Here is a 13,780-nt window from a genome sequence, read left to right on the forward strand (position 1 = left end):
ATGCCACAAAAATCACCTTTCATTCACTCTCAACCAGGGGTTTGTATATCAGAGAGCCAGACCATGGCAAGAAACAGGAAGGAAGGCAGTTTTTTAAATGATACAAAAAGTTGGCTATAAATCCATCATTAAAAAATAAAGAATAAAACGATCCTAAGAAACAAGAAAGTATTGCGACAGGGGAGACACAAAGGGAAATTAGTCTTATAAATTCTTGCAGATGTTTAGAATAACTAATTTTCTTTCAATACCCTGCAACAGGACTGTAGGTGAGGTTATTTACTTCCTAGCTCACATAGAAAATGCCACAATGTGCTATTTCTATAACCCAACTTTTATTATCTTTAAAAGACAAGGTTTCACTAGTCACCCAGGCTGGAGTGTGGTAGCTATTCACAGGCACAGTCATGGCACGCTGCAGCCTCCAACTCCCAGGCTCAAGTGATCCTCCTACCTCAGCCTCCCGAGTAGCTGGGATTACAGGCGTACTCCACCATGCCCGACTCTATTAATCATTTCATCTTTACTGTGGGATAGCCAATTACTTTCTGAACTTTTCATTTACCTTAATTTTTCCACCCAGGTTCATTCCTATTCCCTTCCCACCGTGAGAGTCTCAAAACAAGCTCCCTTGAATCAACAGGCTTCCCTAACTCAGGCCAAGCTGCACTGATACAGCAAATAGGCCCTGAAGCATCAGGGTAATGGCCACACATTTTTCAAGACCCTGCAACGAATCCCCATCTTACTCAGGGTAAAAGCCAAAGTCCTTACCATGGTCCTCCAAAAGGGGTCCATGAACCCCACTGGTGACCCGACCTGACCTCCTACTCACTTGCTTCACTGCACCCCATCTCACCACATCAGCTCCCTTGTTGCTGTTCCTTCAACATTGATTCCAGGTGCTCTCTGGCCCGGAACTGTTCCCTCTGCCTGGAAATGCTTTCTCAGATACCTGCCTGGAAAACTGTCTTGCCTCCTTCAACCCTTCCTCAACTCTTCCCTTCTCCATGAGGACAATCCTGATCCCCTTACTTAATGCAGAACCTGCACTACTCTTCATCTCCTTAACTCTCTTCTACCTTTTATTCTTTCCACCACACTTGCTGCCTTTAACATGCTAATTATGTATTATATATGTTGTTTATTACCCATCACTCTCTGACAGACTGCAAGCTCCTCGGGGCAGGGATCTTTGCTGGTTTTGTTCATGGATACACCCAAGCTCTCAGAACTGTGCCTGGTCCATAATAGGTGTCCAATAACTGTTTTCTGAATAAATGAATGAATTTTAAGCTTTCTCCCCTTAATTTCTCTCACATCTTTGGATGTTGCTGGAAATCTAGTAACAACAACAAAATAAATAAGTAGCAAAATACACAAATAGGTAAACTAAAAAAAAGCCAAACACGTCAGTTTAATGCATTTCATTGTTTTCTCCACACAACAAAAGTAGGCATGATTTAAAGATACATCAAAATAAGCTAAAAAATTATGCCCTTCACCTTTATCTTTAGAAATCTCAATTGTCCAATTTTCACAAAGACATGGATAAAAATAATGCAAAGCCAGAAATGCACATTGAATGGTCAACATTACATCTGATTATGGCTATATTTATACAAGGTTTGCAGGCTCACTCTTCACACTGAACTTGGCAAATATACAAATGTCATTTATTTCTGTCCAGATAAAACATGATTTCTATTATAGATGACACAATCTTTATTTCAGTAAAAACCTGCTTAGTTTCCTCTCCTATATGGGGAATTATCTTGTAATTTTACAAATAACTAGATCAGGCTTTATCTTTAAAAAGATAAAGATATGGATAAAATATTGAACCTCTGCGGTCAAAGCAAGTGTGTTTTGAGAATAAAGATGGAAACAATAATTATATAAAAGATAGTAATTTAATAAATTTTGAATGATGACAACACCAATACCTACAAATAAGTCATATATCAAAAACAAAGAATTTCATGAAGATTCTAAGCTATATATAAAAAACACCAAAATAGCATGCATTAAACAGTTTTTGGAATAAATATTGCTAGTATCTCAAAAACTAAAGAGAAAAATTATCAGTACAAAGGATGGACTTTGTACTACAAAGGAGGTGAAGCAACAACTTCCTCTAAACTAACTAATGTTAAATTTTTCATGCTATCCACATTCATAACTTAAGTCCACATGCAAAAGAAACAAGCTTGTGCAATAATCCAGGCCAAATGATGGCGGGGAAGAGAGGGAAGGAGAGCTGATCATCACCCAGAAAATGATGGAGAGAGCAAGCAGGTTAGTGAGAGCTACAAGAGGTATGAGATGACTACATGTGATAAAATGAAGCTTATGAAAGCTTTGGGTGAATATCAGGAGAGGTTATCATAAAATATGATGTTTTATTATGAGAATGTCCTAAATAATGTATAGAAATAACATTACTTGAATAATTTAAAAATAACAGGTCTATTAAAGTCATAAATTAGATGTCCATATTGTCTGTACAGCAAATTGCTACTTCAATGAAATGGAAAATGGCTACTATTCTGAAGCACCCTTAGAACTTATTCAACTGTTCTTTAAACATCAAAATAAAGTACCAAAATAAAGAATGTTGTTATCCTTATCACAAACTTATTCTGACCATATCATGGCCTGGGTAAAAGATTGACTGAGCAGTGTCAAAACAGAAATTTAAAGCACTATCTTCATGAAAACTACTTAAATTCATTTTTTTAAAAACCACTATCATTCTGCTTTAAATGCCAGAAATAAAGTTTTAGATTAAAATATTTCAATGGTTGTCTAAAATGCTGCAATAAAAACTAGACAAAAAATTTTTAGTTTTTATTTTACTCCCTTTCTTACTAAATGTATGTTAAAAAAAAAAAAAACTCTCAAATGATCCAGACAAAAGCTTTCAACTCAACACATAATTGCAAGAAAATTACAATAATTGTACCAATTAAAACCATCTTGAATGAACAGTGTGTCATCTTAATGTTCCCGTGGTTTACAGAGGGGTCTATTTAATTCGCTGAAATTGCTTTCCAGTGTTAGTATCAAATGTCATTTGTTAAAAGTTGAACAATTTAGAAAATAATTTAACAATTTCACCAAACACCAAGAACCAACATTTTCTTTTTCACCTGAATAAAGCCAGCAGATGTGTCATCAAATTGCTATAAAAATAAACGAGGCTTTTTATGCATTAAAAAAATAAATTTTACTACTAGCGTTAAAAATACTATTTTCTGATTGTTTTTACCAAATCATATTTCTTTAGTACAACAAATGAATATCAATTACATACTGCTGCTTTTTGTCGGCTGTAAATAAAACTTTCTCTTATTCAAATGACAAGCAATAGCATCAAAGAACTCAACTACAGTTAACTAGAAACATAATCATCTAGATTATTCTCACATACTTTAATATCTGGCTTTCCAATATGTTAATCAAAGTGTCTTCCTATAGTTTTTCATTCCAAATCCTTATTATATATAATTATTTTAAGTCAATTCATACGAATTATCAATGATTGCTTACTATATTTTTTCTCTTCCTTAGACTAGCTACGAAATATTCTTTGTAAGTAGTTGCAGGCATTTAAGACTTAAATATACCTATTTCACCAGGAAGAGAAGAAAAGCATCTCAAAATCACCCCAAATCCAGCCCAGTCATAGATGGCAAGCCTGCCAAATGCCGAAGTTTAAAGTAATGAGTTGGTTTAATGGCAAAGCAAAGTTCACATCCCTCATTCTATCCCCACCTAACACCTCTGCACTTTCCAAAGTGCAAGAATACATAAGGCACCTAGCAAAGTACCTGACGTGAAGGAAGGAGGTCAGTAACACTAAGTGACTCGACCTCCTTAAGCAAGGACCCATGTGAGATAACTAGTTCTCCTGTGCCCAAGTTTACAAATTTCTTGAAATCTAGAAATACATTCCTGGAGTAATATACTACTCCTAAACCAATTCAGACAGGGTCTAAGAATCTAAAGCAGCCACAAATTCCTTCCACTACTGTTTCTTAAGACATCACTCCACAGTTCCTAAACGAAGGCTTATTCTTTTTTATGACACATTTTTATTTACACACAAATGATAACAACAACAATCTTGAGGATAGATGAGAGTGTCAAGGGATTACCTGTTTACATTAAATAGGGCTTTATGTATAAATATAACATGCGAAAAATAAACCTCATTATATTGGTATGAATTATTACGAGGCACTTAAATATTTTTAAAACTTAAGTTTTAACCGCTTAGCAAACGTTCATAATTATACAGCACTTGTATTATAATACAAACGTTTATTCACGAAATAAAACCTTGTATGTACAATAAAATATTGTACTACAGAACCAAGAGAAAAACGAATCATGCATCTCACAATAAGATGATTTGTAAAACCTCAAAGACCAGATGCAATTCAGTACCACTTCTCAATAGGCAGACAGTAATTATACATCACTGCATCTACTGGAACACCTACTTGATACAGCACACAGGTTTAAACCACTAAACTACTTTCATATAAATTAAACAGCAAAACCTAGAAGAGCTCAAATCTGTGGACTAATACAACAACATCTATAATTCTAAAACCAGTTATTTACTTAGAAAACATTAAATGTGTACATAAAAAATAGGAACTAGAAAAATAGGAAAACCATATACTGACAATACTCTAAGGAAATAAAAGTTATCTGAAATCTTAGAAGTGTATATAAACTATACACTAAGGCTGGGCACAGTGTTTCACGCCTGTAATCCCAGCACTTTGGGAGGCCAAGACAGGAGAAATGCTTGAGCCCAGGAGTTTAAGACCAGCCTGGGCAACACTGCAAGTCCCCGCCTCTACAAAAAAATAAAAAGAAAGAGCCAGGAGTCCTGGTGCACGCCTACAGTCCTAGCTACTTGGGAGGCTGAGATGGGAGGATGACTTGAGTCCAGGAGTTTGAGGCTACAGTGAGCTATGATTGTGCCACTGTGCTCCAACCCGGGTGACAGAGAGAGATCCTGTTTCTAAAAAATTTTTTAAAATTTTAAATAAACTTTATATACCTGAAAAAGGAAAAGTTTGTCCAAATAAAGTCATAGATTTTACATGACAGGATATATACCTGTGCTAATACAACTCCAAAATTATAATGGAATTAATAAGAATGATTAAATCCAGGAGTATACATTTTATACATATTATTTTGTATTGTCTGCTTTATACGCGTTTTTTTTTTTTTTTTAACTCAACCTAAAATAAAGTAAAATACAAAGAGGTCACAAAAGGTACCTTTCGTAGATGGTTTTTAATGTCATTTGATCTGGAATACCTTCAGTCTCTTCCAAATATAATATGAGCCATGAAGTCCGGTATGGCCACTGCTCAGTAAGGTTGATCCAGCTAGCAAGCCTGTCCCAGTTGAAACTAATCTGATTGGCTCTCAGTAATCGTCCTTTTAAAAAATACAAAAGCATTTAAAAATTAATAGATGTGTGATAGTATGTTAAGTAAAACATTTAGTATATTCACAAATATTTTAAATTTCTAAAATTTACCATTTAATTTATACTACAAATTCAAATCTAGTACTGCCATGGCTTCTAAAATCCAAAGAGCTGCATTAAGTAAAGCTTTTAGGGCTTAAACACAATTTTAATTCTAAAGCAATTTTTTGGTTGTTTGATTTGCCACTGGTGAGATATACTTCTTCGACCACGTATATGCAGGCAAACATCTTTCAGAACTGTGTCACACAGTTCAACGCCACCCACGATCATTGAGCAGAACATCCATTCACCCACAATGGACCCCAATCCTCTAAAGTGCCATCTGCTGAGATCCTATTGATGGACTATAAACAGATCCAAATATGCCAGTCCATTCTCGTTGTAGTATAGATGAATGGGCAATCCCACAGGCTTTCATTTTCACATACTAAGGGTGGTCTATGTAAGTAACCTACCAACTGAGTTGTAATGTTTCTAATATTTATTATTTACGTATTTTAAAACAACCCTGTCTATTGCTGGGATTTTCTGAGGACTCTGATTTGCTGTTCTACCACTAGGCTTGTGTACATGTAGACAGTCGCAATCCTCAAACTTTCAGAACGGATGCCTTGTTTCATTGTATCATGTTTCACCATGATTTGGTAGAAATTCTGAGCTGCTGATACTGTTGTTAAATTTTCAAACATTGTCAATTTTACTTCATCATTATCTATTTTGTTTGTATGTAGACTAAGATACCTATTTGTTTTAGTTCCAATATGAGTTATTCCTTTCCCTACTACTAACAGATATATACATATAGATATATAGATAGATATAGATATACATATAGATATATAAGCCCCAATCCAATTCTTCCTATATCACCAGGCCCTCACTTCCTCAGCAAATCTGCTCATACACAGAAATTATATTTTCATGGCTGGATTCCTCTTCCCTGGAAGGTGAGATGTGAGCATTGATGGAGACATGGCTATGCTGGAGATATACACACAGTGCTGTGTGAAAAGAGAAAATGAGCACCAAATTTAGAAGCGGCAGTTAAGGGAAGATTTCCTTAAGAATATAACTACTAAAAAGAAAAAGACAAAAAAAAAAGAATGTAACTAACCACTAGAACTAAGCGATGAAGGATGAACCCAAGTTAGTCTGGTGGGAAGGCACGGGCTGGCAGAGACAAGGGAAGCAGAGTGAGGACATTCAGACAAAAGGAACAGCAAATGCACCATGCATGCATGCAAAGTCATGAAGGAACCGGTAGACAGAGAGAACTGGAAAACTATTTTAAAAGTATGAGTGAATAGGCCAGGTGTGGTGGCTCACACCTGTAATCCCAGCACTTTGGGAGGCAGAGGTGGGAGGACCATTTGAGGTCAGGAGTTCAAGACCAGCCTGGCCAACATGGTGAAACCCCGCCTCTACTGAAAATATAAAAATTAGCCGAGCGTGGTGGCAGGCACCTGCAGTCCCAGCTACTCGAGAGGCTGAGGCAGGAGAATCACTTGAACCTGGAAGATGGAGGTTACAGTGAGCCAAGATCACACCACCGCACTCCAGCCTGGAGGACAGAGCGAGACTATCTCGAAAAAAAACAAAAAAAAGCATGAGTTAATAAAAGTAAATATTCTATCCTAAGAATATATCTAGCCTATAATGAGTGAATAAAAATAAATATTCTATCCTAAGAATATATCTAGCCTATAATTAGCTAAAAAGAAAGCAATATCAAAAGAAAATTCTGAACAACGAATATGTCTAAGATAATTTTTTAATCTTATCTTCCAAAATAATCCAATAAAACAAATTTGAAATAAAGTACATTTGATACAGCACAATTTTTAATTAGGAAACCACTCAACTAAATACTTATCAATATTTATCTACTAAAACCTCAAATTCTTTTCTGATATTAATCTCTCTATTGAATGACTTTCCTAATAGCAACTATTTGCATGGTGTTGGGCGGGTAACATACACTTTTGCATACATGGGAAATGGGGATTCAAGAGGCTAAGAAGTAACATGCCCGTGACTCAAACCCAAGTCTTTTGCCTTCAAATTCTATCCTTTCCAATAAAATATATTTCCCTACACACTTCCAACTAATGTTACTCAATGAAATGGAAAACATCACAAAAAAAGAAATCAAAATTTCATTAAACACACAGATTTAAACCTGTAAGTTATTTTTCAACATAGCACTTTTAGGCAATGAAACTAATGGTGTTAGGGGCTTTTATAAAATGAAAATTTTACTTAGAAATTTTTCATAGGCAGAGTTATATTTGATGAGACATAAAAGACAAATATCTCTGATTTAACAATTGGAAAGTCTACTGTATAGTCAGAATAATATTAGAGAAATTCGTACATTTGAAATGTGGCTTTAGGAAGATATTTTCTTTCTATTCTGAAATGTGTAAACATCATTATTTTAAAAATGTGTATCTCAGTATCAACTATTAAATGATGTTAATTTGGTCCTCTTTAGAGTGTCTGAAAATGTCTAAATATAATCCAAAATCCTTCCTATGGATTTGGGGCCTGTAAGCCTCAAAGTGAACTACCCAGGGGCTAGATTTTTTCTTTTTTTTTTTTTTAAGATGGAGTCTCACTCTGTCACTCAGGCTGGAGCGCAGTGGCACAATCTCAGCTCACTGCAAACTCTGCCTCCTGGGTTCAAGCAATTCTCCTGCCCCAGCCTCCTGAGTAGCTGGGATTACAGGTGTGAGCCACCACGCCTGCTAATTTTTGTATTGTTCGTAAAGACGGGGTTTCATCATGTTGGCCAGGCTGGTCTTGAACTCCTGAGCTCAGGTGATCCACCTGCCTCAGCCTCCCAAAGTGCTGAGATTAGAGGGGTGAGCCGGTGCGCCCAGCCAGTGGCTAGTTCTTTGACATACTTCCCACTATTCTCTTTTGATCCCCAAAGTGCAACCACACTGGCCTCCAGCTGTTGCTGGAATTCCACCCCAGAGCCTTCACACTTGCTCTTCCTCCTGTTAAGATGCTTTTCTCAAGACAGATATAAAACTCAGTTCCCACTTCATTCAGGTCTCTTAGTCATTTAACAACAGTGTCCTAGACATTGTTCTGGGTACTGAGAAAACAACAATAAGAAAGACAGATAGAATGCCGGGCATAGTGGCTCATGCCTGTAATCCCAGCACTTTGGGAGGCCGAGGCGGGCGGATCAGGAGTTCAAGACCAGCCTGACCAAAATGGAGAAACCCCATCTCTACTAAAAATACAAAAATTAGCCGGGCGTGGTGGCACATGCCTGTAATCCCAGCTACTCGGGAGGCTGGGGCAGGAGAATCACTTAAACCCCGAAGGCGGAGGTTGCAGTGAGCCGAGATCATGCCACTGCACTCCAGCCTGGGAGACAGGGTGAGACTCTGTCTCAAAAAAAAAAAAAAAAAGAAGGAAAGAAAGATAGATAGAAAACCTTTGCCAGGTGGATTTTAAATTCTACTGAGGGGAAACAAACAAAAACCAAAGAAACAAACAAACAAAAAAGTAAATGATGTAGTGAATTAGAGGTGATTTTTTCTGTTGAGTAAAACAAAGCAGGGAACAGGTAACGCAAAGCATACCAAAGAAGATGTCATTTTATACGAGATGGTGAGGGAAGATCTTGTAGAAAAGCTGACATTTAAGCAAAGACTTAAAAGGAAGTGAGAAACCCCATGATGCATATATCCAAAGAACAATCTGTACAGGCAGAAGAAATAGCAATTGCAGGAGGAGCCTTTTGATGGGAGCATATCTGACATTTTCAAGGAACAGCAAAGAAGTCAGTAAGGGATGGAGGAGGAGAATGGTGGGAGATGAGGTCAGAAGGAGGAAGGGGATGCAGAAAATCAGATCATAAAGGGCTTTGTAGGAAACTATAAGGACTTAGATTTTTGTTTTCAGTGAAATGAGGACACATTACAGAGTTCTGAGCAGAGAATAACATGACTGGCTTCTATTTTAAAAGAATCACTGTGGTTGCCGTATGGAGAATAGGCTGTAGAGAGAAAAAGACAGGAGTAGAGACCAGTTAGACTATTTCCATAATTAATAAAGGTAGAACATGATAATGTATCTGATGAGGGTGGTATGCCAGAAAATGGCGAACAGTGCTCATCTTCTGGAAATAGACTGAAAACAGTGCTACAGAATTTACTAGTAGATTGGTGGTAGTATATGAAAGAAAGATCAAGATTTTCTTACTTAAGGAACTGGAAAAGAGTTGGATTAATAGATAGGAAAGACATGGATGGATGAAGTTTGAGTCAGAGAATCAAACATTCAATTGTGGACATATTATGTGTCAGATATATATTGACACCATTAGATGTCAAACAAGCAACTGAAGAGCTATAGGGCTGAAGATACATATTTGAGAGTCACTGGCATATAGATGGCATTTAAGCCTTTCAGAGTAAATGCGGTCGCCAAGGTAGCAGGTCTAGATAGAAAAGGAGAACTCCAAGAAACGCAACCAAGGGCATTCCAATGCTAAATGGCAAAGGGAGATGAAGGCTAACCACCAGCGCAAAAGGAGGAAATCCAGTCGGTGTGGCATTCTGGAAGCCAAAGGAGGAAAATTTTTCAAAGAGGAAGAGTGATCAACACACTGTCAAACACCACTAATGGGGTCAAATAAGATGAGCACTGGCCTGGCCACTGAATTTTATAACATGGAAGCCATTGGTGACCTTGAAAATGCAATTTTACTGAACTGAGAGCAAGAGATTATTGGAATAAGTTAGAGAAAACAGAGGGAGATTAATATGAGACACAGGGACAGACAAGTCTTTTGAGGAGCTTTGCTGAGAAATGGGGTAGTAGCTAGAGGCAGAGGTACAGTCAAGAGCAGCTTTTCTTGGGAAGGGAGCAACAATCTGTGTGTTGATGGGAGTAATTTTCGAGTGAGAGGGAAGGCCATCTCCTGTTTACAGTCTTGTTTTCATGACACACATCATTCTGTGACGTTATATCTTTTGGTTTTCTCTACTAGGGCAGAGACTTTATCTTGTTCACTGCTTATCTCCACAATGCCCAGAAATGTTACCTGACATAAGGCAGACACTCGCTACACATTTGATAAATGAATACATATATGTTGATAACATACTAAAACATTCCCATTGTTGAACATAAATACAGTGAGGCTTGAGAACTCACTTAAAGGAACTTAAGTACCAAAAATATTGTAAGTATATTAGATACAACCTCACTTGGAATACAGTTCACAGCATGAACCCCAACAATATTAAACACAATTCTAGTATAACTATCATAATAGAGTTAACACTAGTAAATATTACAAAGTACCAACCAATACCCTGCAAAGAGACATATATTTTACAAACTAAATTACAAGTATTTATGTGGTTGCCCTGAAGCTATGAGCAAGGAGGAATTCACAAGGCAGAATTCCATGCAGGGACTTCAGGCACAGGGCAATAATCCTCAATTTTATTGTCAATATTTTTTATTCAAAATATATGAAAATTAAAAAAAAAGCATATAACATCTGAATCTCAACATTTTAAATTATAAGCTTATACTCAGTAATACAAATCAGAATAAAATTATCTTTATAGTGAAAGAAAAACTTGAAGCAAAAGATTTTTTAAATAATAAAGTTTTAAAATAATGGTATACAGCCGACAGTTGATAATATCAGTTGACTTTTCATTGTCAAAACTAAAACTGACTTCACTAAGTGCACTTAATACAAATAAAGCCAGTATTCAGCAATGTAAACATATACACACAATACATACCTTTGTTTCTGAAATTAAATGGTTTTGTGAATGCTAAAGCTTATTAACTATCATAGACAATAAGAGACAAAAGTCACCTGTCACAGAAACAATATTAAGTAATCTTCTCATGGTCTGGGGACTGATGTCACTGAACCAGTCCTCGGTAACCAGCAGTTTTGTAAGATCAAAGGACATCTGGCGAGTGATGGTCCTCTGCATCTGCCTTCTTCGGTAAGTGTCCTGAAACAGCACGTCGTCAGTGAGAAGGAACCCACGCGTCCAGTCTAAGAACTTAAGGCTTTTTGAGATGTTAATAAATGTTTATAACAAAAAAAAAATCCAAAGTTTTAGTCAAAGAGGAATATCATACAGTAATAAATTATTATCTGTGAGGTAGAATCTTCGTAAAGCAATTGTAAAGTCATATTCACAGCAACTGCATGAAATGCTATGGTTTAGCTTCAGATGCATTTTAAGTTACAGTGGTACAGTTAGAGGAAGCTCAATGCTTTTAAGATTATAAGTAGGCAGAATTGTGTAAAGAGAATGATATTCAAACTCCATGGGGTCTGGCTATTTATAGAAACCCTTAAGTAATAAAGCAAATAAGCCCTTGTCTGGTTTTAAGGATTCAGCATTTTGATTTTTAGGTTATTATTATTGTTAGACAGGGTCTCTCTCTGCCACCCAGGCTGGAGTACAGTAAGGCAATCATAGCTCGCTGCAACCTGGATGTTCTGGGCTTGGGCAATCCTCCCACCTCAGCCTTCTGAGTAGCTGGGACTACAGGCATGCACCACCACATCCAGCTAATGTGTTTATTTCTATTTTATGTAGAGGGTGTCACTATGTTGCCCGGGCTGGTCTTGAACTCCTGGTCTCAAGTGATCCTTCCACTTAATCCTCCCAAAGTGCTAGGATTACAAGCATGAGCACTGCACCTGGCCTGATGTTTAGGTTATTTTAAAGTATGTGAAAACTAAGGGACAGCCTCTCTAACTATCCTCACATCGCCACATGAACAAAAGGCACTCTTCAGGGTGGGTGGGCTAAAGGAATTCCATCTCATAAAAGGGGGAACAGGTACAACCAAGGTGTGCTCTTGTCTAAGGTCCCGATGCAAGGGAAGGATGGATGCAACCATGGGGCACCCAAGGTTGCCAGGCAAGAAATTAAAAATGGTAAGTTATATGCGCCTCTGAATTTAGTGCTGTCAACTGTCATTCATCATATTAACTTTGCATCCATATCTGTAAAGGGTAGAGGCATAAAATCAAAATGTCACTGAAGACATTTTTTTAAAAAGTAAGACATCCAAACTTAATGGTAGCAAACCAGAAAAAAACATAATGCCAATACTAGCCCAACTTCACTGAGTGTGAGTGGCACTGTCACAACTGCCCTGCAAGTGAATATCTTCCTGTCATATGCATACAGACATATACACAGCACATGCCCTTGTTCCATACAAATAAGATGGGGAGGTCAGGGACAACCAATGTTTTGGAGAAACCCCCAGTGGCTGGGAAGGACACAAATTACTATGTGGTAGAGAAAAAAGAGTGAGCGTCCCACAAGCATTTAGGGAAGGCTGGCCAACAGGAAGACAAAGCCAGGAGTTTTCTCACACTACAAACCTTTCTCCCCTACTGCTATGGTGGCAACAGGCATAGCTCAACCTGACCAGGAATGAATAGAGTGGTTCTCAACCCTGGATGAAATCATTTGGCAAGCTTTAAGATCCCAGGGATCAGGAGCAGCACCTGGGCTGAGAACAGGTTGGGACCCCTATACGAAGTACAGTTGTTAGGGTTCTAGGTGCAGACATTCCCTGAAACACATGAAGCTGAAAGGAAATTCAATGATAATGTTTATTTGAAGCGTTTAATGCAATATTTACAAAGTATTATTTAAGTGGCATCATCTTTATTTGTATTAAATTGAATAGCAATACAAACATACAGCTCGAAGCCAATGGCATCTTACCCGTCTATTGAGGGCTGTCTTGCTACCAAGTTTTGTCATCTCCCCAAGGCTGTTCTGTGAAACTCTTCTGTCAGCATCTTCCTGTATCCCTTAAATAATTTATCAAGACAGCATCACTTACACCAAAATTCTGTTGTATATGATATTTAAAGAAATGTGAAACAACAACAATATTTTTCAAGGTAAAAAGGAGAGTCGCCATAAAGAAACTACAAAACTATTTCAAACTCAAAGTACTTTAGGAGCCTGAGCTTTACCTGTAGTATCTGAGCATGGAACGTCTCCATTTGTTGCTGAAGTTACGAGAAATTTTCTTGCATTGCTTAGTCCACGACTATTAAGGAACACAGGCAAGTGGACTATGTTGCGCATGTAGTCATGGCCATTTATATTTGAATCCCGAAGCACACTATTGAGGTTCTGGTTAATTGCCTTTATGATAATATGTGGATCACTTGCAAAAATGGCAATGAACGGGCCTTTTGAAAACAGAACTCGGACCTGT

At 37.3% G+C, this 13,780-nt stretch overlaps 1 protein-coding gene across 16 annotated transcripts in view; it reads right to left on the reverse strand.

Moving 5' to 3' along the window:
• The window catches only part of KIDINS220 (kinase D interacting substrate 220), a 116,533-nt gene that overhangs the window by 44,283 nt on the left and 58,470 nt on the right, over positions 1–13,780 (reverse strand). For all 16 annotated transcript variants that reach the window (NR_145965.2, NR_145964.2, NM_001348741.2 and 13 more), the window contains 4 exons: positions 13,533–13,776; positions 13,276–13,364; positions 11,385–11,529; positions 5,307–5,469 (listed from right to left, as the gene is read on the reverse strand). Coding sequence is in view for 14 of the 16 variants with exons in the window: in NM_001348741.2 (NP_001335670.1) it covers positions 5,307–5,469; positions 11,385–11,529; positions 13,276–13,364; positions 13,533–13,776 (641 nt within the window). In the remaining 2 variants the exon portion in view is untranslated. The remainder of the gene's footprint in view (positions 1–5,306; positions 5,470–11,384; positions 11,530–13,275; positions 13,365–13,532; positions 13,777–13,780) is intronic.

Source organism: Homo sapiens, chromosome 2, assembly GCF_000001405.40.
Source record: "Homo sapiens chromosome 2, GRCh38.p14 Primary Assembly".
NCBI lineage: Eukaryota > Metazoa > Chordata > Mammalia > Primates > Hominidae > Homo > Homo sapiens.